This window comes from Homo sapiens, chromosome 12 (assembly GCF_000001405.40).
Source record: "Homo sapiens chromosome 12, GRCh38.p14 Primary Assembly".
NCBI lineage: Eukaryota > Metazoa > Chordata > Mammalia > Primates > Hominidae > Homo > Homo sapiens.
The window spans coordinates 54036952-54062667 of NC_000012.12; the positions used below are offsets into that span (position 1 = coordinate 54036952).

At 49.8% G+C, this 25716-nt stretch overlaps 1 protein-coding gene and 1 long non-coding RNA gene across 3 annotated transcripts in view, besides 6 other annotated features; both read left to right on the forward strand.

Moving 5' to 3' along the window:
• HOXC4 (homeobox C4) overlaps nucleotides 1-19079 on the forward strand; it is a 39143-nt gene extending 20064 nt beyond the window's left edge. Inside the window, exons 2-4 of one of the 2 annotated variants that reach the window (NM_014620.6) lie at nucleotides 16209-16325; nucleotides 16966-17410; nucleotides 17899-19079. In NM_014620.6, coding sequence (NP_055435.2) covers nucleotides 16972-17410; nucleotides 17899-18254 — 795 coding nt within the window. In that variant the 5' untranslated portion in view covers nucleotides 16209-16325; nucleotides 16966-16971 and the 3' untranslated portion in view covers nucleotides 18255-19079. Of the gene's footprint in view, nucleotides 1-16208; nucleotides 16326-16883; nucleotides 17411-17898 lie in introns of those variants that run through there. The other variant, NM_153633.3, reaches the window with a different exon arrangement.
• Nucleotides 9490-10389: an enhancer, noted in NCBI's record as "H3K27ac-H3K4me1 hESC enhancer chr12:54440225-54441124 (GRCh37/hg19 assembly coordinates)". NCBI's record gives its function as "activates a minimal SCP1, AML or CMV promoter by ChIP-STARR-seq in naive H9 embryonic stem cells {active_cell/tissue: H9 hESC(naive)}" and the evidence as "EXISTENCE:reporter gene assay evidence [ECO:0000049][PMID:30033119]".
• Nucleotides 14680-15661: an enhancer, noted in NCBI's record as "H3K4me1 hESC enhancer chr12:54445415-54446396 (GRCh37/hg19 assembly coordinates)". NCBI's record gives its function as "activates a minimal SCP1, AML or CMV promoter by ChIP-STARR-seq in naive H9 embryonic stem cells {active_cell/tissue: H9 hESC(naive)}" and the evidence as "EXISTENCE:reporter gene assay evidence [ECO:0000049][PMID:30033119]".
• Nucleotides 15662-16643: an enhancer, noted in NCBI's record as "H3K4me1 hESC enhancer chr12:54446397-54447378 (GRCh37/hg19 assembly coordinates)". NCBI's record gives its function as "activates a minimal SCP1, AML or CMV promoter by ChIP-STARR-seq in primed H9 embryonic stem cells {active_cell/tissue: H9 hESC(primed)}" and the evidence as "EXISTENCE:reporter gene assay evidence [ECO:0000049][PMID:30033119]".
• Nucleotides 15939-16098: an enhancer, noted in NCBI's record as "active region_6434". NCBI's record gives its function as "activates an Ori minimal core promoter by ATAC-STARR-seq in GM12878 lymphoblastoid cells {active_cell/tissue: GM12878}" and the evidence as "EXISTENCE:reporter gene assay evidence [ECO:0000049][PMID:35858748]".
• Nucleotides 16675-17175: a transcriptional cis regulatory region, noted in NCBI's record as "promoter|chr12:54447410-54447910 region (GRCh37/hg19 assembly coordinates) targeted for CRISPR interference". NCBI's record gives its function as "negatively regulates NFE2 gene expression in K562 cells {active_cell/tissue: K562}" and the evidence as "EXISTENCE:mutant phenotype evidence [ECO:0000015][PMID:31784727]".
• Nucleotides 20700-21201: an enhancer, noted in NCBI's record as "H3K4me1 hESC enhancer chr12:54451435-54451936 (GRCh37/hg19 assembly coordinates)". NCBI's record gives its function as "activates a minimal SCP1, AML or CMV promoter by ChIP-STARR-seq in primed H9 embryonic stem cells {active_cell/tissue: H9 hESC(primed)}" and the evidence as "EXISTENCE:reporter gene assay evidence [ECO:0000049][PMID:30033119]".
• Nucleotides 21303-25716, forward strand: part of FLJ12825 (uncharacterized LOC440101) — a 63981-nt gene continuing 59567 nt past the window's right edge. The window contains 1 exon segment of the long non-coding RNA NR_026655.1: nucleotides 21303-21613. This is a non-coding gene — a long non-coding RNA (uncharacterized LOC440101).

A 25716-nucleotide genomic window follows, 5' to 3' on the forward strand; every position in this document is an offset into this window, starting at 1 on the left:
GGTTAGAGCTGCCAGGCAGGGCACACCAGCCCCACCGTGCACTGACTGCCTCCTCCCGGCAGGGTTTGGGCCTCTCCTTCCCTGGAGGAGCTGAAGGTCTGACTCATTTTGGCTTGGGTAGACACAGAGTGCCTGCCTGCCCTCCTCCTTCCTGTCACAATCTGCAGGTCTGCCCAGGCACCAGCCTTGGCTTCTGCAGCATCGTCGGGAGTCAGCGGCGGCAACCAAGCCAGAGGCCTCGTACCTACTTCCCTACGCTGAGGGTGCATAAGGCCCAGATCCCTGATTTCTCCCTGAACAGGGGCTTCTGCTTTGGGGCCTGGGGTAGTTTCCCCACCAGCCAGCCTCCTAGAACATATTTCCAGGTAACAGGGTCTGGCATTGCTCTGGGGGAGTTTATGGAGGGGTCTTCTGGGTTGCAAGCAGAGACTATGGAGCCTGCCTCTCCACTTTGCCCTGGAACCCACCCCCTCTGGCAGCAAGAAAGAAGGGGAAGAAGCATGACTTACCTTCCCGGGGGAGTGGGAAGAGGGGGGACACGGCCCACTCTGAGCAATTAGAGGAAAGAGGAGGAAAAAATAAGAGGACAAAAAGATCAACACGACCTCGAAGGCGACAGGTCCTTATGGAAATAAGTAAGTAAATAAATAAATAAGGATCCACCCTCTCCCCCCTCTCCACCCTGCAAGGGGGATGTGGGGGTGGGGCAAAGGAACAGCACCAGGGCTTTTTAGTGTAACTGAGCATTAGAGAAATAGGCATGCTTCTATGTGAATTTAGGAGTTTGAAACTTTTGGAGGTTATTTATGTGAATAGCCTGAAGGCAAGCCCGTGAGTGGCTCTTGGGGGACCACGTGATATCATTAAACCAAGTTTTATGGTGTAGGGAGAGCTGACAAACCCACAATATATTTACATCATATATAATCTTAACTGTCCAGCCACGCAGCTGCTGGTGAGGTTTAATGCTAGGACAGAGGGCCTGGCAGTTAGAGGGGATTACGGCGCTGGGGACGATGGTGAGAGAGGTTACATCTTCGCAAATGAATCCCAGGCGAACGCTGTGAGTTAATTCTCTCTTTCTCTCTCTCAGACCCTTTCTCCCATTTACCTAACCACCCCCCTCACTTGATAGAAGGCAGCTCCCACTTATTAGGGGGAGGGGGAAAAGGCCTTCCCAGGCTGGGGTGGGAGAAGAGAAGAAGCAGCAGAAAAAGCTGCTGGGAAGTAGGAAGATGGGGGAGCTTGTCTACCCTGAGCAGCCCTCCCCTTCCCACTCCTTATTCTCTCTGACTGCAAGTCAACTGGGGTAGAGAGGCCTTGGTTGTTTAGAGATTTGCCAGGTCTTCCTGACCCTTTCAGTTGAGAAGAAAGCAAGCGGCAGCAACAAGGGTGTTTGGTGTCTGTACGGGTATGTAAACTCTAGACACAAGCTCAAAATGCCTCTGGGGCCCACTGTTCCAGGGAGGGGTGAGTTCAGCCCTTGGCCAGTGGCCCAAGGTGGGAAACTGGGGAGAAAGGCAGGGAAGGAGGGTTTTGTGGCTTCTACGCCCACAGGCTACTGCTGCCTGAACTGGCAAAAGTATCTCAAAGGTGGCTGTTTGAACCCAGAGGTCCCAGAGTGCCCCCTCCCTCCCTCACTACCAGGCTTGGATGGGCAGCTGTCTCAGCCTCCGTAGTTTGGCATCTTAGTCCGTCTGAAGCCAGTGTGGTTTCATGCTTCCTCCTCTCCTTCTAGCTGCTTGGGTCTTCCTGGCATTCCCAGCCCTTGCCTGAGATAAAACTAGGCTCTAAGAGCCCTAGAGGTTCCTGCTGTGAGTGGAGTGTAATTGTGTGTTGAATGGGTGAGGGAGCAGAGGCAATGTCTTTGCTAGGCTGGGAAAGTAAGTCCCCCAACCTTAAGGACAGAGTAGCCCCTCGGGGATGGAGCTAGCAGGGCCCAATATGAGCACTGCACCCTGGGGTCAATCCTCAGGCTAGGGCGCCCTTCAGGTTTCTAGGAAGGAGCAGCAGAAGCGTTGGGCATGAGAGGCACATGTCTTCCACACCTGCAATTGCTATCCCTCCCTGTGCGTCACCGGGAGCTAAGCCAGGAAAGTGACAACATGTGAATTCAGGCTCCTGTACTGGCCAGCCATGAATAGCCAGGGCTTTGGAAGCAGGGCTGAATGCCAGCGGACCCATAGGTGCAACTCCTCCAGGCTGGGAGAAAGGGGTGGGGAGCAGAGGGAGTGAGCCAGATATGCACCTTCCAGAAGGGGAGCATGCCTGGGGAGCAGCGGTGTCTGGGCATCTGCTTTGTGGAGAGGTGCTGTTGGGGGATGAGGAGGGAATGCTGTTAGCCTCGCCCCCGCTGCTCAAGGGACTGGGGAAGAAGCGAGAAGCAGGCAGACTCTGGGAGAAGGAAGGGGGCACAGAGGCCCAAATAAATGGGGAGTCTTAGCTGAGCCCCATTCTTCAGTCTAGGGGTCTCTCACTTGCATGAGGAGCTCGGGAACCCGACATGGAGGATTCCCTTGACGCCATCCCTCAGGGCCTCAGTCTCGGCCAAGATTCAGCCTCCCCCACCCTCCTCCCTGATACCTTTATTTTCCTAGGATCCCAGGGAATTCTCTCCAGCAACGCATTGGAAAAAACTAATTATCAGTTTCTCCCTTCCTCATTACCCGTCCTTCTTGGCTCTCTCCTTCCCTCTAGTCTGTGATTTTGAGAGTTTCTGGAAACTTTCCTATCCAAGCAGCGGAGACATGGGAGTTTCTCTTGGTCTGTAACTTGACTCTTCCCCACCCTCCAGCCTCCCCAGGGCTCTAGGGAGCGAGTGCAGTGGTCTTTAACCGGGAATTTAGCCAGGGCCGAAGTCCCACACCCAGGCAAGACTCCACCCTGACACCCGCCCTGACTCTCGGCCAAATCTCAGTCCCATTCCCTTCCTCTCTGTGTAGACGGGCATTCGAGGGTGTTTAAAGATTTACATAGCGTCCCTTGAGCCCTTTGATGACTTCTTCACCCCCTTTTCTGTTCTTTAGGCTCAAAAGTTCCATTTAAATACCACCCCTCTTCCTGTGATAATTGATTCTCCTTCCCCTCAAATAGTTTGCCTCAGTTTTTTACTGTTTTCTAAAAAGTTTCTAGTTCCACCTGGAAACAGGGCAAACGCAAAGGAGGCCTGAAATTCTTGGTTTTCCCACCCACTACCCCAAACCCTAATTTGGAGTGTCTCTGGAGCGGAGGGTGGGCAGGCAATCAGGTGCCAAGCTTTCCAGCCAACCCGGGAAGCTTTTAATTTTGTTCCTAGGACTTTAACCCAAGGAGAGGTCAAGCAACCAATCAGAAATGCACTAAGCAGGGTCACATGGTCCCCACCAACCAATCAGCAAAAACTACTTGGGTCTCTGTCTCGCTCTTCCCATCCGGCCCTGTTCCTTCCTCCCTCCCTCCCTTCCCACCACAGCCTTAGCTCCTGGGTTTATCCTATCTCAGATTTGGAAGGCTGGAGTGATACCCAGCATATTCTAGCCTCCTCTGTCAGTCCCTGAACCAACTCTGAGGAGTCTTTGGCTTGTCTCCTCAGTTGCTTACAAAGTTGTATCTGGGAGTCAATCTCAAATGCACAAGGATGTGAAGTTGTGGGGGCATCCTCTGGATTATTCCCACGTTCGCCAGCGTGATTCTACCCAATTTTCTGGGTGTTGTAGTTGTAGACTCTAAATTAGACTATAGAGCAAATACAGATATGAACTCCAGCCCTGAATTCAAATTCTGGCTGTGATTATTCCCCATACACTTACAAGTATTCATTCTCTTCTGATTTTCATGAGGGCAGGTGGGGTGAGAGGAGAGCCCTTTTGATTTCTCTTTCTGGAAATGCTCCAATAGCCATTAGCTTTATCAGACTGCCTCAGGCATGGTTAGGGAAGGGAGCAAAAGTGGAGATTTTTTGAAAGTTCTGATTGGTACCTTTCGTTTGTCGAATAACTTTGAGCTAGTTAAGGGTTCTGGAAAGGAATGAGCACAGAGAATTCCGACTTTCCTCACTCTCCACATTAAATAGTTGATGGATTTGTTTAAACCCCTTCCCTTCCATTCTTTTAACAGGATATAATAATAGTAATAATAATAATAGACTAGGTGATGATCCTATGTCCTGGCCAATAGCCATCAAAAGGTACAGCCACTGAAGGTGTGGATTTCAGTGTTTGAGTTTACATGGATTAGGCCAAGAACAAGCAATAGGCGAGAAACTATTGCTGAGTAAGAGCATCTGATGGCACAGGGAGTGCACAGCTATGACAGAAATGCTTGTGTTTCCTGAACACTTGGGCTGGGCCCTGAGCCAGTCCACTGCTGGGTCCAGACCCAGGTATTCTCCCCCAGCCACTTCTCTAGAGCTTTGTTTCAGAGTGAATTTTCTGGTTGGGTTCTCCTCCCCTTCTCTTCCTGATCTCTTGCCCTCTTTGAGCTAAGGGGCAGGAGTTCTGATGGACTGTGGCACCTGGACCTCTAAGCACCCCCCTGGGGGCATTAAGAGTACAAGAATGGGAAGGATAGTCCGGACTGAGCTGGGCTTTGTCAACAATCCCCTCATTGTTTGTCTTCTGGATGGAGCTGGTTTGGGGACAATGCCACAGGCCAGGTGGGAAGGATAAGGATGAGAAGCCAGAAAAAGAGCAGCTCTTCTCAGAAATCATTGAGCCCTCACTTTTCAAGTTACCTTCAACCACACTGCTCCATCTGCTTATTTTGAGACTAAGTTTCACTCTTGTCGCCCCGGCTGGAGTGCAATGGCACAATCTCGGCTCATCGCAAACTCTGTCTCCTGGGTTCAAGTGATTCTCCTGCCTCAACCTCCCAAGTGGCTGGGATTACAGGTGCCCACCACCACACCCAGTTAATTTTTGTATTTTTGGCAGAGATGAGATTTAATCATGTTGCCCAGGCTGACCTCAGGTAATCCACACGCCTCATCCTCCCAAAGTGCTGAGATTACAGGTGTGAACCACCGCGCCCAGCCTTTTCTTTTCTTTTCTTTTTTTTTTTTTTTTTTGAGATGGAGTTTCACTCTTGTTGCCCAGGCTATAGTGCAATGGCAGGATCTCAGCTCACCGCAAACTCTGCCTCCTGGGTTCAAGCGATTCTCCTGCCTCAGCCTCCTGAGTAGCTGGGATTAGAGGCATGCACCACCACGCCTGGCTAATTTTGTATTTTTAATAGAGACAGGGTTTCTCCGTGTTGGTCAGGCTGGTCTCAAACTCCTGACATCAGATGATCCGCCTGCCTTTGCCTCCCAAGGTGCTGGGATTACAGGCATGAGCCACCGTGGCCAGCCCCATTTGCCTCTTTTATGAGTTAGAATTAAAGGACACACTTATTCTTCCCCAGTGAATGGTGTGGCAGATTGTTGGAGACCAACTCTCACCCTCAATGTGGACTTCTCACACTGGGGTACCAGATCTCATGAAGAGTTAGGAAACAAAGACAGGGGGAGATTGGTTCTATCCACACAGGCACTGGGAAAAGAGATTTTGTGAGTGCCTCGACCCCTCCTTGTGAGTGCCTCAAAAAGGTAAACTTTCTCTTTTTGACTGTCGTTCTCTGTAACTGCTTTGGACTGAGTTTTTGAGAGGGGGAATGCTGAAACATCATTGTTCTAGGATTTAATTAGGTCCTTTTTGCTGAGAAGACAAGCACCACCACCCTGAGCCTCTTCTTTAGTGGGACTAGGGCCCCTGAAGCCCTTTGAGGTGAAGGAGAAAGAAAATCTGAAATCAGGGTGCCAAACTAGGGTTTTGGGGTGAATGATTCAATTTAAGGAGAAGACGATGCTGTTTGAGAGCCAAGAAAGTCACATCCTTTCCTACCCCTCCCAACTTTTATTGGCTCCTTGTGACCCACATTGGTGTGTCTGTACTGATACTATCTCTGCTAGCAGCTTTGATGGGGCTCCAGGAGCCCAAGGAATTGCCAGACAAGGTCTGGGTTGAGGAACTTCGGTGATACAAATCTCTTTATTTTTGAGGCCTACACAACCCTTGTAATCATCTCCCTCTCCCAATCCTAAGGTTCACTGAGAGGCAAAAGGGGAACAGAGATACCTCAGAGGAAGCGGTATGGGTGTGCAATGTGGGACTTGGGAAAATTGGACTCGGTTATGCAGGACCTTGTTCAGCCTCTAAGGACCACATTTTAGCAGCTATGAGAAGAGGTTGAACACTTGGGCTGGGCCCTGAGCCGGTCCACTGCTCCAGGCATGCTGGGGAGCAAGTGCAGGGAGAAGGCTGCTTCTCTGCATCTGTACACATGTACAGAGAAAGTTCTACAGTGATCTGCAACCCCATATGGGCTGGGTGAAATGTGTAGCCTGGTCACCTAGGATCCTTTCAGTTCTGCACCACAGGTCTCAGAGAGGCAGTTCAGGCTTGGTTCTGCCCTCTAAAGATTCTCATTTACCCCAGCCCCTGGCCCTGAACACCAGAATACCTGAACACACAGAAACACATATATGTGCCCAAGGATGGTATGGTAGAGGTCAGAAGCCTGGGCTGGACACAGTAACCAGCATGGAACCAACTTCCCACTCCTCCCTCCCACTCCATTCTTCCCGTCAGCCCAGCTTGGAAACCATTTGTCCTCCCCACCCCACCCCCACCCCTCAAGCCCTGCGCAGCTGTTGAGTTTCCTTCCTTCTGCCTTTCTGGAAAACTCAAACGCTAGAGCTGACTCCAGGGATGGTGGCAGCCAGGCTTTCTGTGATCTTCAGTGTTGTGTTGGCCCAGATTGAGTTGTCAGGAGTTGAAGAGACATGGAGGGTCCAAGGAGGCCAGAATCTTATCTGATCTAATCCCCCTCTCCTTCTGTTCCAAGCTCAAACTCCAAACTCCTCAGGGCTCCCTTGCTCAGACATTAGAGATAAATCTTGTCTAGTAAATACTTCTTTTAAAAGTCAACTTTCTGGCTGGAAAACACAGGCTGTGTGTGTGTGTGTGTGTGTGTGTGTGTGTGTGTGTGTGTGTGTGTGTTTAGGGAGTAGTAAGGGTCAGGTCTTTCATTTTATGTTGTGTCTCTCCCCATCCCCTGGGTGGAGGATGGGGGCACAGGCTGAGGTTTTATTGAGGGTGCTTTTCCTGTTGGGAGTAAAGACAGGGTCATAAACGCCTAGAGTAGGGTGTTTTGATCTGGTGACTTCTCAGGAAGTAGCATCTGAGGTTTTGCTTTGTAAATCACTCTCCCCCAAAGCTGGCTTGGCAGATTGGATTGCACTTCCCCAAGCCCACCTGAGGCCCCTCCTTTCCTCCCTTCCCCAGTAAACTAAAGGAGAAATATAACAGAGCATCTGGAGTCTTCAAAATCCTCTGACTCCAATTTCTTTTTTAAAAGGCTAATTGGTGATTTTTTTTTCCCTCAAAGTTTTCCCCTAAAAAATAATGCAACGTTTCATTTCCTTTTGCCCATGCAGTCCCTGGTCCCCCAACCCCTCAGTCACAAAGGAACTAACATTGACAGTAAATAGCCTCAGAGCCTGGCTGTAGATATCAGGACTCTTCTGTTCTGGGGCTGATCTCTCCCTGTCACTCTTTCCCCAAGCCCCAAACCCCCTTTGACAAGGTAGAACTTCAGATGTATAAGACAGAGTTCATAGGAGCTAGGAATAAGAGGAGATGGCAGCGGGGCATAGGGGAACCCCATCGTGTACCGCATGAATGGAGGAAACTCTGCAGTCTGTCACTGGGTTTTTTTGTAATTAAGATGGGTGCAGGGGTGTGTGAGTGTGTGTGTTTGTGTGTGTGTGTGTGTGTAAGCCCCCAGCCTTCTCACATCTCTATGTACCAAACAAACAATATATTTTACCTAAATAACTCCATTTCCTAATGATAATGAGTCTTCCCCTCCTAAGGATCCCCCACCCCCTGGCTGGCAAGTCCCTCCCTTGTGCCTGGGGCTACAGAGCTGAAGGAAAACAAAGTTAAGAGCCCTCTAATTCAGCCTTAGTTCAAGCCAGATCAGGTCAGGAAGCTTTCAGGCCCAGGCATCAGGGCTTATATTCATTGCCAGCAAAATGCCCCTATATGCTGGAAATATGTCATAGATTATATGAGTTCCGGGCCCTCTTAGCACTTGCGAAGTCTCTAGTCCACCCTCATTTCTTTCTCAGAGAAGCCTGGGCTGGGATACCCCAAACCCACAAGCACTAGAGATTCCTCTTCATTCCTAGGACTCCATGCAAATAATCTTCACAGAGAGCTGAGCGCTCCCATAGTTATATATGTGAAAACGTATTTATAGATCGTTCTATGTCTATATCAGGATGTATGTTTTATATTCCTTTTTGTTCCACATTTAAATGCAGATTTATAGATCCATAGTGAACATAACAGTCCTCGGTCAAATTCCTGTGTGCACTTTACCAATCTTTCTATAGTGGTTGGATGTATATGCTAGGATGTATTGGTACAGCTCTCTTGAAACACCTAAGTGAATATTTGGAAATTTTTTTCTTTGTTGGAAAGAACTATGTGTGTGTTCAATGTCTATTTTGAAAATTTTATCTAGATTTATGCAAGGATCCTAACCCATAAAATAGCTACATATTGAAGCTACATATTTAGAGATCTTTACAGTCTTTGCATTTTTGCTGAAAAACTTACATGTTTGAACATATGTTTAGAGATGGTTTCATAATGCATGCATCTGTGTATAGGGGCATAGATCTCCCTTCTAGAAGGACTTAAACTTACTGCATCTCTCTGTCTCCCTCTCTATCTCTGTGTCTATGATATAAAAAGATATTAGGTGAGTGGGGGTAGGGAACAAATATATTTTGGATGTTTGGCTTATTAAAGCAAGTAATTCTGTCTCTATTTCTAAGGCCATCTCCAAAATCTAGTCCCACTAAGTTATCTGTCCCTCGAAAACCTACTCTAGGGGTCATAGACTGCCTCCAGGCTGCCTCTGTGACCTGAGATCCAAGCCGAAGCTCCCTACCTCTCAAGGTAGCCACTAAAAAGAAGGGGGAGAGAAGAAAGGGGAGAGTCCTCCAGCCCAGTTCCTGTTGGATCCCCAGGGCAAGAGGCTGACAGGGGCTTGTATATCTCCCTACACCCCCCACTGGGCCTTTGAAATGTGGGGGAAAAAGGGATCAAGTCCCCAACTGTTTTTATAGGGTGCCCAAATGATGCCAGGGTTACTGCACAACCCATAGGTTCCTCCTCCCCAGTTGTTCTCGGTGCCCAGGGCCCAATTAAGCGGCCGCCTTGCGCCCAGCAGCCCCGCTCTTATCGGCTGGGATTGATGCCTCCGCGTCTCCTGTATATCATTTCCAAGATTTTTTCTGTCCAACTCCTCGGCTCCTTTGGCTTCCGCGGCTTTGACTAATGATTGCTACAGATGCCAACGTCTCCAGAATCCTAATAGCCAGGCAGGCGGACTCTTATTTACCCGGCAACATTGCTGTGGGGGAGGGGGCCTGGGGGACAAGTATTGGGGTGTCGTAGGTCAGGGGACAGGGAGAAGGTTGTGGCCAACTCAAGTGTCACTGAACTTCTTCCCAGTCAGAAAGACATTCCCAATCCCCTTCTCTCCTTGAGGGAAATATATATATATATATACACAGTTAATGGTAACTCATTGCTGCCTCGTTAGAAAAGATCAAAGAATGAACACAACGTGGTAGAATAAGCAGAGCAATGTTTATTTGTTGTAAATAAATGAGAGAATAAGTGGAAAACCAGCAGTTTGGGGAGGAAAAAGAGAAAGGGAAAGAAGTCAGCCACAGTGGGAGAAGGGGCTCCTTTTCTTCATTTCTTGTCTTCCCCTTTCTCTCCCCACCCTAAGTCTACCCTTCTCATCAATTTCTCCCCTCTTTCCCTTCCTTCGCCTCACCTTCAATCCCTTGGGTGGAGGGGCTGAACAGCGTGTTCCCGGGCGGAGGTGCGCGCAGCCACCCCAGGCTGCTGCCAGGTGCCCGCTGGGGCTGCCAGGGCGAGGAGGCCTCTGGGCTGTGGAGCGAAAGTCAGATCCACCGCCTACTGCGGGGTAGGGGCCGCAGTGGGGACCGCCAGCCCTGTGGTCCCTCTCGCGCTGACTGGCGTAAAGTTGTGGCCGAATTCGCATCTCTTCTGGTGCTTCTCGCCCGCCAGCGCAGGGCCCAGGTGTTTGAGGCGAAGGGGCTCTAGCTCCCCGCAAGCCTGGAGCCAGGCGTCGCGCTTCCTCCGGGCTTAATCCAGACCTTTCAACACACACCTCATTCGGGGGAGGAGAAAAGCACAGGACCGCGGAGAGCCCAGCTTTGAGGCCAGGCCTGAAGGGATAACCCACACAGGGAACGTTTTCCTATCAGAGAATAATGGAGCACAAAATAATTCAGAAAGCGAATGGGCAGGACCACAGCCTGAGAGTCCCGCGCCGCGGGGCCGCTGCAGAGCCGGTCTCCCGAGCACCGCGGCAGGACCATTTCGTTGGAATGTAGGGCGAGGCCGAAGCCCGCCCCGGACCCAGGCCGCGAGGTGCGCGCCGGCCGCCGAGGGGCCGCCTGTAAATTACAGCCCGCCGGGAGGACTCGGAAATACACAAAAGGAGCCGAAAGATTTAAACAGTCGGAGGCAGAGGCGTCCCGAGGCGGCCAAAGCGGAAATCAATCACGTAATTAAAACAGGGAGGGGACGAAGCCCAAGGCTGGGGGTCCCGGGTTCGGAGGAGGCGGCCAAGGTGCAGGCCGAGGCTGGCGAGCGGCTTAGGGACGTGGCTCGCCCGCCAGGACCAGAGCGCGCGGAGGGGCTTCGGGGAAGTTTATAACACATCGCTATTGATTCCCGCTTGGCTAGGAAGAGCAGACTCTGGTGCCCTCTCCCAGGCCAGACCCTGAAGCCTCCGATGGCCCCTTCTCCGACTTTCCCGTTTTTGTGGGGTTGAGACGCGCAGTTGCAGTTGAAGGCCGCTCCCCAGATCCCACTGGTGCCACGATTTTGCCAAGGCAAGTTTGCGAACCCAAATGGCATCAAGATGCTGCCTTTGGGTTTGAGGGGATGGAGGGAGGTGACACCCCAGTTTCAGGCACTAAGAAATCTCTCTCGGCCTTGATTCCTCCAACCCAGGATTCAAAGCATGCCCGGAAAGACTCTGATCTATGGGCCGAGGCTTGGAAGGGGTGTGCGAGGCAGACGGGGTTATTAAAGGGAGAGCTTGGGGCTGAGCAAACTGGACCCCTTTGGGCTGGAAAGGAGAAAGAACAGCTCCTGGAAGAGAAAAAAAGGCACACCGGGAGCTGTGTTTTGTGAGGGGAAGATCTTATTATTGAGGTTAATCATGGTAATGATCTGGTATGGCTGGGTCAGCCCAGGAGACCGCGCTCTCCAAAGTTCTTTCTCACAGAGGTTTCTCTGGGGGAGTCAAGGGTTCCCCAACTTCACTATGGTTGGGGAAAATAAAATAAAGACCTCCAATCCTCTCCTCTGCCTTTTCCTCTCCCTCCCTTAAAAACTCCAGAAAAAGGGAAACCTTATAAAATCTCCATCACCCCACTTATTTTTCCTTGGCTCTCTCCAGTTTACTAAAATGCACGGTCTTTGGGAATTGAGTTTTTCTGGAGCACCCTTCTTGTGAAGCAACAGAGGTGACCCGACCAAGTCCTCATGAATTCTGATGCTGACCCTGGAGAGGACCCAGGATTCCCTTGCCTACTGTAGAATTCTCTCTCTATCCTTAGTTTTTCCCAGTCTCTGCCTTCTTTGGTCTTGGGTGCATAATCTCATGGGTCTCTGGCAGTTCAGAGGCCAAGAACAGATTAAGGCACTTTGAGATACCCTCATAAACTCTTAAAAGTGTTTCCAGCTTCCTGTCATCTCTTTAATACTGGGAGTACCAGGCCAGGGACCCCTCCATAAACTAACCTAAGGCCAGCCTGATTTCTAGATCTTTTCAAGCCACATTTAGGTTCCTTGAAAAATAAAAGTCCCCCTCCCCAGCAAGAAATTCAGGTCACCAACCTGCCGCACAGCAAGGTTCCTGCATCCACACATCAGAATTTTCAACAACAACAATTTTCATAATAAGAAGTAAAGCTTGCATCAAAGTTAGCAAGGGACACCCCAAACCAAATTTTAAAAAGGATATCATCCAGCAGTCTTGAAGAGGGGTGGGGGTCAATGAGGCTGGGATGAGGGAGGAAGGTGGTGGGGAACCCAACCTCTAACTAACAATTTCTCCAGCATAAAAATGAAACATCAGATTCGTTAGCCCAGGGCCTTCATTTTTCCCCTTCCACATTATAACTAGTTATTGAACTCGCTGGAAGATCTAAAGGCCATTTGCGAAGAGACAAATTTCAATGGAGTTTCCCCATCAATAACCCCATGGCAGTGAACTATTGGAACAAGTCAAACACCCGAGGTGAAATGCAGGTCACTCTGTCTAACCAATATTAAAATGCGGCCACTTTTTAAAAAGCCACTTTAAACGAGATTTGAGGAAAATTGAATTCCAAGGAAGGCAAGGCAAGGCAAGAGAAATCCATGAGAGGACCTTGCCTAAGGTCTCCAAACAAACAAGAGAAATTCATCTTTAATATTTTAAAGGGGGGCAAATTAACATTCCATGATTGCTTTTTTTTTTTGAGACTATAAGCGATTCCAGGAGAAGAAAAAAGGTTGAGTATTTTCTGGTGACACATCCAGGTTATTAAAATCATTTTAGACCAATTCATTACTTTTACTGACAAGAGATTTAAGAAAAAATCAATTAAGATTTGCATATTCTTTTGCATACATTAGCCCTGGCTGCCGGCATTAGAAAGGGACAAACACATACACACACACACACACACACACACACACACACACACACACACACACACACACGAAAAAAATGGGCTATGAGCCTTGATTTAGTTTTGGGTTTTCAAGTTGCCCAAAGGAAAAAAAAATCAAAGTGAAATGAATTGCCTGATTGCATACCATCTAAAATTCAATTTATATGAGTGAAAGGAAACAGAAATGTTGCAATTTTTAATCCCTAAAACAACAACAACAACAACATTCACACACATAAACCCTGCATTTCAAAGAGTAGGGAAAGGAATGACCCTCATTTTCCTTCCCTTTGCCCTCCAAATCCTGAATTGGTTCACCCATTTATTTTTCTCCCTTGGAAAAATCAGAGAGGGGTACGATTTTAATGCAGCAGAGAATCTATGGAGCCGCTGAGCTCTCTCAGCCGGCAGCTTGTTACTGGGGAGGGGAGGAATATGGGTTATCCAACGGTCAGTATGGTAATCCAGGCACAATAAGGCCTCACACACAATGGACACATATTTTTCTTCAGCGATGTCAGAAGGGAAGCGCTTTGTACTGAAACGTGTTTCCGAAAGAGAAACCAAATCGAGATTTAGAAAGGAGATGGGGTGGAGGGGCAATTGCAGAGAGCATTTGGATGCTGGCAAAAGGTAGTCAGAAAAAATAAAAATAAATAAAACTGGGGCAAAGTGAGGTTGAGGACAGGGCAGAGGTGCAGCCCCTGGGCCAGCAAGGCGGGAGGCAGGAGGGTGAAACACAAAAGAAGACAGGACCAGATACAAGGATTCATCACAGATGAGAGCTGCTTTAGTACCCCCACCCCCTCCCAATTAAGCCATTGCTAAGTGCAAAAGCCCTTCCAACGGATTTTATTTCTGTGCTTGTAATAATATCCAGGTGAAAATGTTTGTGTGTATGTGTGTGGTATTTTACCCATGTGACAGGCGACTTCCTTGCTATTAAGCTATAGGAGCCCAAAGAGAGTTGCTGTTGTTGTTTTGTAAATGATGTAGATGAGTGTGGGCACATTTGGGGGAATCTTGGAGATTTCACTTTCTGGATGTGCATGTTGAATTAGCTGCACGAACCTGGAATGAAAACTCTACATATTTATAGCTGCATAAAGAGGCATTTAATATATTAATAAATATTAATAGTGTGCACGCATATATGTTAACCATAATAACCAAAGACAGACTTGACATTCAGTTGGGGGCATCTGAACCCTCTGTGTCTACTACTTATACTGGCCCAAAGTCAGTCTCCTTGACCCCCCTGCAGAAGCTCAGAAACCTGGCGGGGGTGGGATGTGACAGGCAACATATTGGGGAGGACTCCTTAACAAGTACAGGAGGGTGAAGATTGAAGAAAAGAGGGTTAGCGTCAGGGCACGGATGGTAAAAGGTGAGTGTGAGGGCTGAGAGGATGAGAGTCAGGCTCACAGCTCACCTTTCCAGGTGAGGCAGCCGCATCCAGGTACAGGCCTAGAAGGGAGACTGGGAGTGGGGCCGGGAAGGTTTCCTCCCTCTTCATCAACCCTCTCCACATGGCACCAAAGTTTGCTGAGCTTTGGACTTCCCGGTGGAGCCATCTGGGACTACAGTTCAGACTTAGGTACTAGGATTCAGCACTGGTTTCCCTTTGCCCTCTTCCAGCAATTTATAATGAACCCACCCCCACCACCAATGATTAAGACAACCCCACACAACCCAAACCACTATTAACCAAGCAGTAGCCTTCCTCCGCCCCCTCACTCACAGTCTCAACTTCCTCTCCAACCAAACCAGCCTGTCCTCACATGCAGAGAGTTCCGGACAAGAGTGGGCAAGGGTTCTCAGCCAACTCTGAGAATTTGGGAATCTCCATTAGAGGTGTTCAGCCTCTGGGGAACTCCTGTTCCTTCACCTGGCCTGGTTACAGTGGGGATGGGCACTGTCCTCTTGGAGAGAGAGTATTCAGGGACCACCAAGCACCAGCTCCTTGGGAGCTAAGCCCTGGCCCTGCTGAGCCTGGGGTGGGGCTGGGGGCCTAAGCATTGGAGGAGGGAAGGCAACGAGGGCCCAGGCGGGAATCCGCACCCTTTGGGCACGGCTGTGGGTCCAGCTTCCCTCTCATTCCAGCCCTTTGGGGAAGCCCTAATTTGGAAGTGGGGACCCTCTCCAACATCCCAAAGGTGATGAGAAAAGGATTGGAATCTCTTGCCTTCAGTCTCCCTCTCACAAGGGCTTTATTTTTTTTTTCCCTTTCCCCTCCTCATTCCCTTAATTGCAGATGTTCTAATTAAACCCTCAAATAGTTGTTATGCCGTTTTAAAAGGTACTTATTCAAGTGTCAACCAGGCTGGGCTGGGAGGAGGTAGCGTAGGGCGGCGAATTAAAGGTAGATTGACTAATCACGGCGGCGATCATAATAATAAAATCAGAGGGAAAAAAAATCACATTACGACTTTTCGTGGAAAGGAGGGAGCAGGCAGCCAGCGGCCGCCAGCCCTGCGCCGCCGCCGACACAAAGAGTGCGGGCGATTCCGCGAGACTGATTTATGACGTTTTACAGCCCTATAAAAGCTGTAGCGACGAGGCAAGCGCTCCTACCACCGCTGGCAGATTTAGTCTAATAAATAAAACATAAACAGTTAACTTTATGTGTCACTTTTATTGTTATCAAGTAAAATATAGCTGAGCCCTGGCAAGCTATGATTTTAAACTATAATTGTTATCAAGTACAACAAGGGGACCCGGCTCCCTCCCTGGGCTCTCCCCTCCGCTACCCCCCGCAACTCTGAGTTATGGGCGATCAGTTAATTGGAATCGGTGGCATGACAGGACCACCCCTAGCTGGGGGGGGGGGGTGGTGGTTAGGAAAGCAGCTTTTCCTGGCCCCCTCCCTCCTCTACGGCCCTGTCACCCCCCTCCATCAGAGTATTACTGTGAGTGGGTGGCAGAGAGAGAGCAGGGGGTGTGAATGGGCTGGAGACCCCAAAGGCTGGCCGTGCCTCCCCAACTTGGTGAGCTTAGCCTTCCGTTTTTGGAAAGCAGCCTGGAGCTGGCCTTTAGGAATTCGTGTTTACATGTAAACACACGTGTTACATGGATACAGCTCCTAGCCAGAAGCAAGCAGGCTCTACCCACACAGGCCTCCCTCTTAGCTAGGTCTGCCCTCTGTGGGGACAGAGAAAGAACTCTCAGGATCTTGGCTGGGCACCATCACAGGGCACTGACTCCTGGCAGAAAGCTCTCCTCCTTGCCCCAGCTCCTTGGAGATAATTGTCAGAAAATAGCAGGCCGGGCTGAATGGGGAGTGGAAACAGAAGCCAGCAGTAGAAGAGATCCTCTGCTCTGGGGCTGGGGCAGGGAGGGTCAGTGGGTAGCAGGGGAAGGCGAGACTTCTGAACTCTGCTTTTGCCAACCACTTCCTGTCTCTCTTCAGCGGGGGCTCAACCCCCAGACCTCCAGAAATGACGTCAGAATCATTTGCATCCCGCTGCCTCTACCTGCCTGGTCCAGCTGGGACCCTGCCTCGCCGGCCGCATGGCCAGAGGGTTGGGTGAGTGTGTATGGGGAAGAGGGGCTGGACTCTGGTATCCTTGGATGGGGGGCACTCCAGGCTCTCCAGCCTCCTCGGCTCAGCCTGGGCCCCTCCCCATCCAACATCCACTCCAGTCCTCATTCAACTTCCTCTTCCTGCGAAAGAGGGGCGCTGCCCCGTGACCTACACAGACTGAGACACGATCGCCATGAATGGAGACCTCTGGAAAAGCTCAGGAGCCGAGGCCCACGGGGCCCAGCAGAGGCCTGAGGGGAGACCCTGGGCGGGGGCTGAATCACTGCCTCCCGACAGTCCCCCAATGCCCGGGCTTTGGAGGGGAGCCGGGAGCTTCCCATCTCCTTTTGCAGGGGAGGGTTGTCAGTCTGGCGGGATGTGCACTGGGGGCACTCCAACCTCTGCTAGCTAACCCCACATCACCACCCACCCCCGCCTCCCAGCACCACCACCACCACACACACAAAAAAATTGGATACATTTTGAATAAAGCGATTCGGTTCCTTATCCGGGGACTGGGTTGCTCCGTGTGATTGGCCGGAGGAGTCACATGGTGAAAGTAACTTTACAGGGTCGCTAGCTAGTAGGAGGGCTTTATGGAGCAGAAAAACGACAAAGCGAGAAAAATTATTTTCCACTCCAGAAATTAATGATCATGAGCTCGTATTTGATGGACTCTAACTACATCGATCCGAAATTTCCTCCATGCGAAGAATATTCGCAAAATAGCTACATCCCTGAACACAGTCCGGAATATTACGGCCGGACCAGGGAATCGGGATTCCAGCATCACCACCAGGAGCTGTACCCACCACCGCCTCCGCGCCCTAGCTACCCTGAGCGCCAGTATAGCTGCACCAGTCTCCAGGGGCCCGGCAATTCGCGAGGCCACGGGCCGGCCCAGGCGGGCCACCACCACCCCGAGAAATCACAGTCGCTCTGCGAGCCGGCGCCTCTCTCAGGCGCCTCCGCCTCCCCGTCCCCAGCCCCGCCAGCCTGCAGCCAGCCAGCCCCCGACCATCCCTCCAGCGCCGCCAGCAAGCAACCCATAGTCTACCCATGGATGAAAAAAATTCACGTTAGCACGGGTAGGCAACTTTGCTTTTTGCTCCCCCCCTCCCTCCCTTCTTCCCTAGCGCTCCCCACCCTCCTCGGCCCCCTCTGGCCCCCGTCCTCCTTTCTCTCCTTCCCCCTCTCTCTCCAGGAGCGACTCTGGGTTAGCACAATTGAACTGGATTTACGAGCGAGAATGGGTAATTACATCCCCCATAAATTTTATGGCTTAGCTACTCTGGGCAGTCCGAGCCATGTGCTACGATCTGTTATGTATGTGTGAAAACTATGCTCGCTTTCTAAGGGCGCATAAATAATTCAGTGTCGTTACAATGAGGATTCCCCTCTTATTACACTACAAAGTCTTCAGCTTCCTTCAACTTCTTTATAACCCATTTAAGCTTGATGACTTTATTTCCACCACTCCCTCCTCCTGTTTCTCAGAGCTGAGGATGGGGTGAGGGTGGGGGGCGGGGAGCCTGCTGCCTCTGAACCCCACTATTTGCTTTTCCCCTCCCCCCAGTGAACCCCAATTATAACGGAGGGGAACCCAAGCGCTCGAGGACAGCCTATACCCGGCAGCAAGTCCTGGAATTAGAGAAAGAGTTTCATTACAACCGCTACCTGACCCGAAGGAGAAGGATCGAGATCGCCCACTCGCTGTGCCTCTCTGAGAGGCAGATCAAAATCTGGTTCCAAAACCGTCGCATGAAATGGAAGAAGGACCACCGACTCCCCAACACCAAAGTCAGGTCAGCACCCCCGGCCGGCGCTGCGCCCAGCACCCTTTCGGCAGCTACCCCGGGTACTTCTGAAGACCACTCCCAGAGCGCCACGCCGCCGGAGCAGCAACGGGCAGAGGACATTACCAGGTTATAAAACATAACTCACACCCCTGCCCCCACCCCATGCCCCCACCCTCCCCTCACACACAAATTGACTCTTATTTATAGAATTTAATATATATATATATATATATATATATAGGTTCTTTTCTCTCTTCCTCTCACCTTGTCCCTTGTCAGTTCCAAACAGACAAAACAGATAAACAAACAAGCCCCCTGCCCTCCTCTCCCTCCCACTGTTAAGGACCCTTTTAAGCATGTGATGTTGTCTTAGCATGGTACCTGCTGGGTGTTTTTTTTTAAAAGGCCATTTTGGGGGGTTATTTATTTTTTAAGAAAAAAAGCTGCAAAAATTATATATTGCAAGGTGTGATGGTCTGGCTTGGGTGAATTTCAGGGGAAATGAGGAAAAGAAAAAAGGAAAGAAATTTTAAAGCCAATTCTCATCCTTCTCCTCCTCCTCCTTCCCCCCCTCTTTCCTTAGGCCTTTTGCATTGAAAATGCACCAGGGGAGGTTAGTGAGGGGGAAGTCATTTTAAGGAGAACAAAGCTATGAAGTTCTTTTGTATTATTGTTGGGGGGGGGTGTGGGAGGAGAGGGGGCGAAGACAGCAGACAAAGCTAAATGCATCTGGAGAGCCTCTCAGAGCTGTTCAGTTTGAGGAGCCAAAAGAAAATCAAAATGAACTTTCAGTTCAGAGAGGCAGTCTATAGGTAGAATCTCTCCCCACCCCTATCGTGGTTATTGTGTTTTTGGACTGAATTTACTTGATTATTGTAAAACTTGCAATAAAGAATTTTAGTGTCGATGTGAAATGCCCCGTGATCAATAATAAACCAGTGGATGTGAATTAGTTTTACGTCAATGTCTGATGGTTTCTTTTTATTCCCCTCCCTCTCTGGCCTGGTAACATCCCATCTTCTCTATAGTTGCCTAAGTTTACTTTAAACAAACACACAAATCTTAGCTCTCCATTAGTCTTCCAATGTCCTTAGAAGAACAAGCAAGGGGGTTGGGGTATGGGATCTTCAGAAGAGGGGATGTGGAAGATTAAGGCTGATTTCTCCAGTCCCCTTCCTTCCCCCTGAGTCTGCAGAGAGACCAGACTCCTCTGGGGGCACTTCAGTGGAGCTGAGGGTGGGGAGTGTCTCACTTTTCTATAGTTAGGTACAGTTTCTTCTTTTTGTCTTTTCTCTCTCTTCCCTTCTCCCTCCTCTGTGCTGAGTAGGCCTGCCTACTTTGTAGACAAGGGGGCAAGTTTAGGGAGTGGGAAGGAGAATAGTTTTCTTTCATCTTTTAGGGCTCTTTTGGGATGAGGGATTAAGGAAGACATCCCCTCAACATTTGAGTTCTTAAAAGAAGGAAGGTTTTGAGCTGGTGACTCTGAAGCAGCAAAGTCACCTGTCAGGATGCCTTCTCTGTTTGTTTAGGCTTGGAAAAAAGACTGGCCAGAGGCCTGGGAGGTACCCTTGTTATGGATAGGCCTCAAAGGCTGATGCCTGGAGATAATAAAAGACTTTTACCTTTTTATTCTCTAACTTTTATTATGGACCTGCCAGGTGTTGCGAAGAGACTTAGGGAGAGTCAAGGACCACCCTCTCTTCCTATAACCTCCCAGGTCCTGGCAGCGTATGGGGATAGCCTGAACAAGTTTCTCTGGCTGTAAAGAAATAAATTAATTAAATAAATTTGTTTCCTTGGGGCTAAAAAAGAAACAAAAAATCTTGCCTGGATTACCTGAATACATTCAAGCCAAAGGCTCCCAAATAATTCTGGTCCTGAGATCCAGGCCCTAGCAAGGCCTGCTTAATTTTTTGCTTGTTTGTTAGGAGAAGGTGGGAGGAGGGCTGTTGGTGACCTTCTTCTCGGACGATTTATCCATATTTCAGGAAGAAAGGCAATTAGAAGTAGAAGACAGAGGGAGAAGAGATCTAGGGTATGCAGGGAAGCCAGGGATACCCCTTCCCCCTATCCCCAAATTCTGGAGTGAAAGGCAACAGCAGGACTAAGTTGTACAAATCACATTGGTGTGCTTTGAATTTATTTCCTTTTGAACCACTTGCTGGTTGTTACTTGGTGTGTGTGTGTGTGTGTGTGTGTATGCATGCCCTCACACGTGTGTGTGTTGGGGGGAGTCTCTTAGTCCTTTAGGTCTACTTTTCCTCCCTCAGTGGTACCCTGGAGACAACAAAACATGCTGCCTACAGTATGAGGAGGCAGGCCAACAATTATCTGGAGTTTTTTATGTAATCAAGTGAATTAGGGGCCAAATCTGACTGTAGCCCCTATCGTCTTGAGGCGATTGCCCTTGGAACAGAAAAAGGGGGTTCTAGCTGTGCTTAGGAAAAGGGAAGGAAGGTCTAAGGGCACCAGGGTGTCTTTTCAAGCCTGTAAAGGAGCTAAGATGGAAAGCAGGGAAGGGGTAAATTGAGATCCATGGTTCTTTCCTAAGTTTGCTCGCGTGGCTTTCAGGGAGTTTATCCCTCTCCTCCTGAAAGTGGAAGAGATGAGAGTGAGGAGGGGGAAAATTACTACATTTTATTTCCTAAGTTTCTCCCTGAAATTGCAGAAGGGACACTCTAGTTCAGGAAAAGCAGCATAAAAGGGTCAGAACACTTATTTTATTTCCCCTTCTTTATGTCTTCTGTTTCTTCTCCTTCCTCTTCCCTCACATACATGGTCATTCTGCATGTGTCTCCTTCTGTTCTTTCTGGTCTGAAAAGGGGAAACATCAGAAATCCATAATTCTTGACAAATGAACCCAAACTAAAATCCCTTACATTTGAGTTTGAAGATTTTGGCCTCTGGCCTTCCCTCCAGTGGGCTCCATTTTCTCCCCTTTCCCCAAAGCTCTCCTTTGCCTTGGACTTGGCAACCCAGAATGGCATGGCAGGGTTGGGATGTGGGGGGCCAGTCTGGGCCGAGGGCCCCAAGCTCCAGCAGTCTTGGTCCCTGCTGCTCTGCCTGATGCTGCTACAGCCTCGCTGGGAAGCTGAGGGCTGGGCTTTTATTTAAGTTGGGTTGAGCAGTGGGGAAAGGCTGGGGGGAGGACACAGCCCAGGTTCACGGGGAGGACACAGCATTTTCTCTCCCATTGCCTTTATATTCGGCAGCGCCTCTGACCTCTCCCCCACCCCCATCTCTGACCCTCCCAAGCCAGCCCTTGCTCAGCCCTGGTCTCCAGATAGGATGCCACTGCTTTTGTAGGACTGGGGATTTCTTGCCCAGAGTAATGGGAGAGGCAAGGCGCATGAATGCCTGTAAGTGCATTGTATCCCTCTCTCTTCAATGGCTAAGTAAAAAGAAGACGGGTGAAATGTCGACACCAATCTTCCAGGGTTCCTTCTCTCCAAGCGCCAGGAGATCCCCACAGGCCAAAGATCCCATTGACACGTAAGTAGTTAGCACTCGGTCTGCTCTGGGGGTGAGGAGCACAAAAGTTTAAACTCTTATTTGCCACTCAATTTTTGTCTCAACTCCCGGTCTTAGGCAGGGAAGGCGGGAAATCCAATTGTAAGCGGAGGGGTTCTGCTTGGAGAAAAAGACGGTTCTGTGCTGAGTCTGTGTACCTGGGGAGTAAAGAAATTTGGCTCAAAAAAGAGAGAGTCTGAGAAAGTGAGACTGAGGGAAAAGGACTGGGGCACTTTGCCTTTCCGAGGGTCTCTTGCTGCTGTTTGTGTGAAGTTTCCTACAAAGTTTTCTCTGCAATCTGTGCTTCAGTTTTCTTTCTGCTTGGACTTGGCAGATTGAAATCCAGAGACAGCTTCCCACAGCTAGGGGTGTGTGTGTGTGTGTGTGTGTGTGTGTGTGTGTGTGTGTTGGGGGGAGTTGTAGGGAAGTGAAAACAATTAAAAGGTTTGCTGGGAGCTTGGAGCCAGGGTGTCCTTCTCTGCTTTTCTAGGATTAGGGGAGACTGACTCTGAAAGGGGCCCTTAAGATCAAGGGTGCTATGACGGGGAGGAGCAGTGCGCTGGAGCAACTGTACCATCTTTTTCTCTGCCTTTTGCCCAGTCCTGGGGGAGCAAGCTATTGCACTCACAAAACCACCGCTCCGGGTTTTCCACAGCTTCTATCTGGCACTGCACCTATGGAGAGCTAATTTTAATTTAAATGTTCCCCTTCCAAGAGACCCCTCTCAGGCTTGGAATGAGAGATGGAAGATCCCTGAACACCAGAACTCCAGCGGCCACCAGAGCAGAGGGAATATTTATTACCTCTCTGGATGTCATTACCTAAGAATACAATTTTATGAACTTCCTAATCTGTTAGCTTGATTTATCTGGATGGGCAGGAGCCCAAAATAAACATTTGGGGGATTTGTTAAAAAAAAAAAAAGTCTTTGCCTCTTACCAATGTTTTTGATAGAGCTGACCACCCTTCTCAGCCTGCTTTTTCTGCACCCTGCATTGCCAGCCCCATTTTGATTTTTCTCCTGCAGCGTGTGGCTGCTCCGGGTGTTGGAGTTTTAGCTGCCTCTTGATAATTAAAAATGGGGGCAGTGAACTCTGAGCTACAGATCTGTGAGGAGCCCTCGAACATTTTAAAACCTGCGCAGCTCAAGGAGCTCAGACCCCTTTGGAGCTTGGGGAGCAGAAAGAAGCTAAAGCTGATCTGGAGCTTTGCTCATCAGCCCTCCAATGCCAGGAGCCCCTGGCTCTCCCTCCACTCCTCCGGGTTTTTCTTCTCTTCTCTCTGGTGTCAGTTCCGTAGCTCTTTGAACGCAGGGCCAATCCAGCAGAGCCCACATCCAGGCCTGCCGGGATAAGGGCCTCTGCAGCCTCATCTTCCTGCTTCCACTTTCTGCCAGGCCTGGAGGATAAATCAGGAGGAAGGGAAGACAAGGATGGGTAGGGAATATCAGACTATGTTTGAGGGCGATTAGGGTTACAGAGCCTAATAAAGAGGAAGGGACTATTTTAAATTTCCGGGCCCCATCAACAATTTTCAGATTCCTGAATAGGCAGCATCCTCTAGGGTCAGCTCTGCCTGCCTCGATGGGGTATGAGTGAAGCCAAAATAGTGTCGCTTCTACTCACTCCTCCTTTCTGACTCCCTCTTTTCCCAGCATCAAAGATCGGGAGAGGAAAGTATACAGTATTTTAATTTCCAGGCAGAAAAAAACCCTGGAACCGAGTGTGCAGGAGGCACTGCCAGATAGCCAAACCCTAGGTTCCACTCTGGAGCTCTGGCTTCCCGGGAAGCCTGGCCGCGAGAGAATGGGGCAAAATGTGACTGTCTTCATGGGGTGGGGGTGTCCCAGCTCCCCTTCTCACAGAGGCCAGGGTCTTGAGGATCGCGAAATGGGGCCAGCCGGGGCAAAGACGAAGTTTCAAGGGCCAGCGGCAGCCAGGCTCCTCCTCTGGGTTCCACGCCACGTCCGCCCTGGGCGCGGTGTCGCCTTCAGCTGGGTCACGACCCCGGGCTTGGGCGGACAATAGGGGCGCGGGGCGGGGAGCGCGGGATGCGTGGCCAGCTGAGCGGGTTCACTGCGCGGTGAACTCCGCTGGGCCTGAGGGTCTCGCCCTTTAGATCCCAGCCTCTCCTTTCTTCCTCCTATCTCACCTTCCATCTTTTCGTGGAAAATTGAGAGGACCCTCAATCGCTCCTTGACCAATACCCTACGGCTACCACCTCCAAATAATGAGATTTCATTTTCTTTAGAAATTAAAAGATAGTTTTCTCCGAGGTACAAGAGCAGGAAATGGGACCCTCTCAGGATCTTTGTGGGGATGGAGAGGGGAGATCTAGGTATCAGTGGAAGCGTTCTCGACCCGGGACTCAGGAAGGCCCTGAAGGATCCCAGGCCATCAAACCAACAATCCCCTCCATCAGAGGAATTCCAGCCAAGAATGTCCCCTTCTCTCCCAGTTATAGGGAGAATTGCCCTCTTCGGTTTTCTGGCCTTTGTTTCTGGATGTCAGGTTAGGCTTAGGGCTTTTGTAAAAGGGGAAACACTTCTCAAATCCGATGGGCAGGGACAGAGCTGGGCGTGAGTCATTTGGGAGAAATCCTCCAAACTGGTCTGTTCTCGTTGAGGCGATCTCACCCCACCACAGTGATAGCCTGGCTCTTATTTGAGGCTCTGCCCCTTTGGGTGGTATCATTGTGTTTGTAACTTTGTACATGTGGAGTCTTTCCATTCAGCTGGAATAGATTTTGGAAAATAAGGTTACCGAATGGGGCTTGAGTTTTAGCTGGAGGAACCAAAGGGCAGCCAGTTTAGAGAAAGGAAAAAATGGGGGAGGGAGACAAGGAATATTCATAATACACACTTGCTTGGGCCTCCCCACCTCATCCCTATCCTGCCTGACCCAGCTCAGGTGTGATGGGGTGATGTGGGCCTCCCAGCTGGAAACCTCCCCTCAAGGATTCAGTCTTTGATAATTTCAAACCTTCCTGGAATGTGACTGCCTCCAGCTCTGTCTGTCTTTTCTTGGCCATTTCAGAGTCTCTGCCTAGCATTTCTGCTGCTTTCCAAGTTCCATATTTCCTCCTGTCGTGGCCCTGGTTCCAATCCTTGGACTCCCTTCCAACTGTAAAAGCAGAGGAAGAACCAAAAGGTGGTGGGTGGCAGTCTGGGAGGGACAGCTGAGGTTCAAAAGTTCCTGGCTAAGCCTCCAATCTGGGCCACCTCAGGGGCTGATCTGACCACTCCAGAGTGCCCCCTGGGCCAGCAGCAAATAGAACAAAATTTTATAGCCGGGGCAGATGTTGGCTCGGCCATCTCACCCGGATTCCCCTTCATCTCTCTTCCACTGAAGAGGCTCCAATCTCCACTATACCTTTGTTCTCTTTCCTTTCCCCCTCCTCCCCCTCCTCTTCCTCTGTTTGATCCTGCCAACCCCCCAAATTGTTTCTTTAGATCTGAAAGCATCTGTTCCTGTCTGACCCTCCCCCAACACCCTCCTCTTTCTCCCTCCCTCCACCTCAAGCAGTCAAAAAGCCCCCAAATGGAAGGCCTCTGGCCTCTGACCTATTCTGATACACCAACGTCCAGATACCTTTGAGGCCAAACCTTTAGGCCCCTCCCCAGTTACTTTTCTTTCATTCTACCAGCTGGAGAGGGTCCTGGAATTGAATGAGTTGAGTCTTGGCCCCTAGGGACCAGTCTCTTCTCTGCCTGGGACAATTAACCATTTTTCAGGTAAAAGCAAGGAGTCCAAGGTTGAAGGGTTTGGTGATGAACTATTTAGATAACTACCCCAGTCCTCTGTTGGGCTTTTGGGGGCTCTAGATTTTGAACATATCCATATTCTGACCATAGACAGATGTCCTTTTCTAACCTCTACCTGGCCATTTCTTTTATCACCCTTTCTGACCCTTCCCTTAATTGCAAAGTCATTTTCTGAGCAATAAGAAAGCCCCTCCAATCCCTCCCAGAATTCACTAATCTAAACTAGGAAGATCAAGGCAGTTTCCATACTGTGCACATTGGAGGGCCTCTTTTCTCTGTTTTTCAAAAAATAAAAAAGAAACAAAAAAATTACTCCCTCACA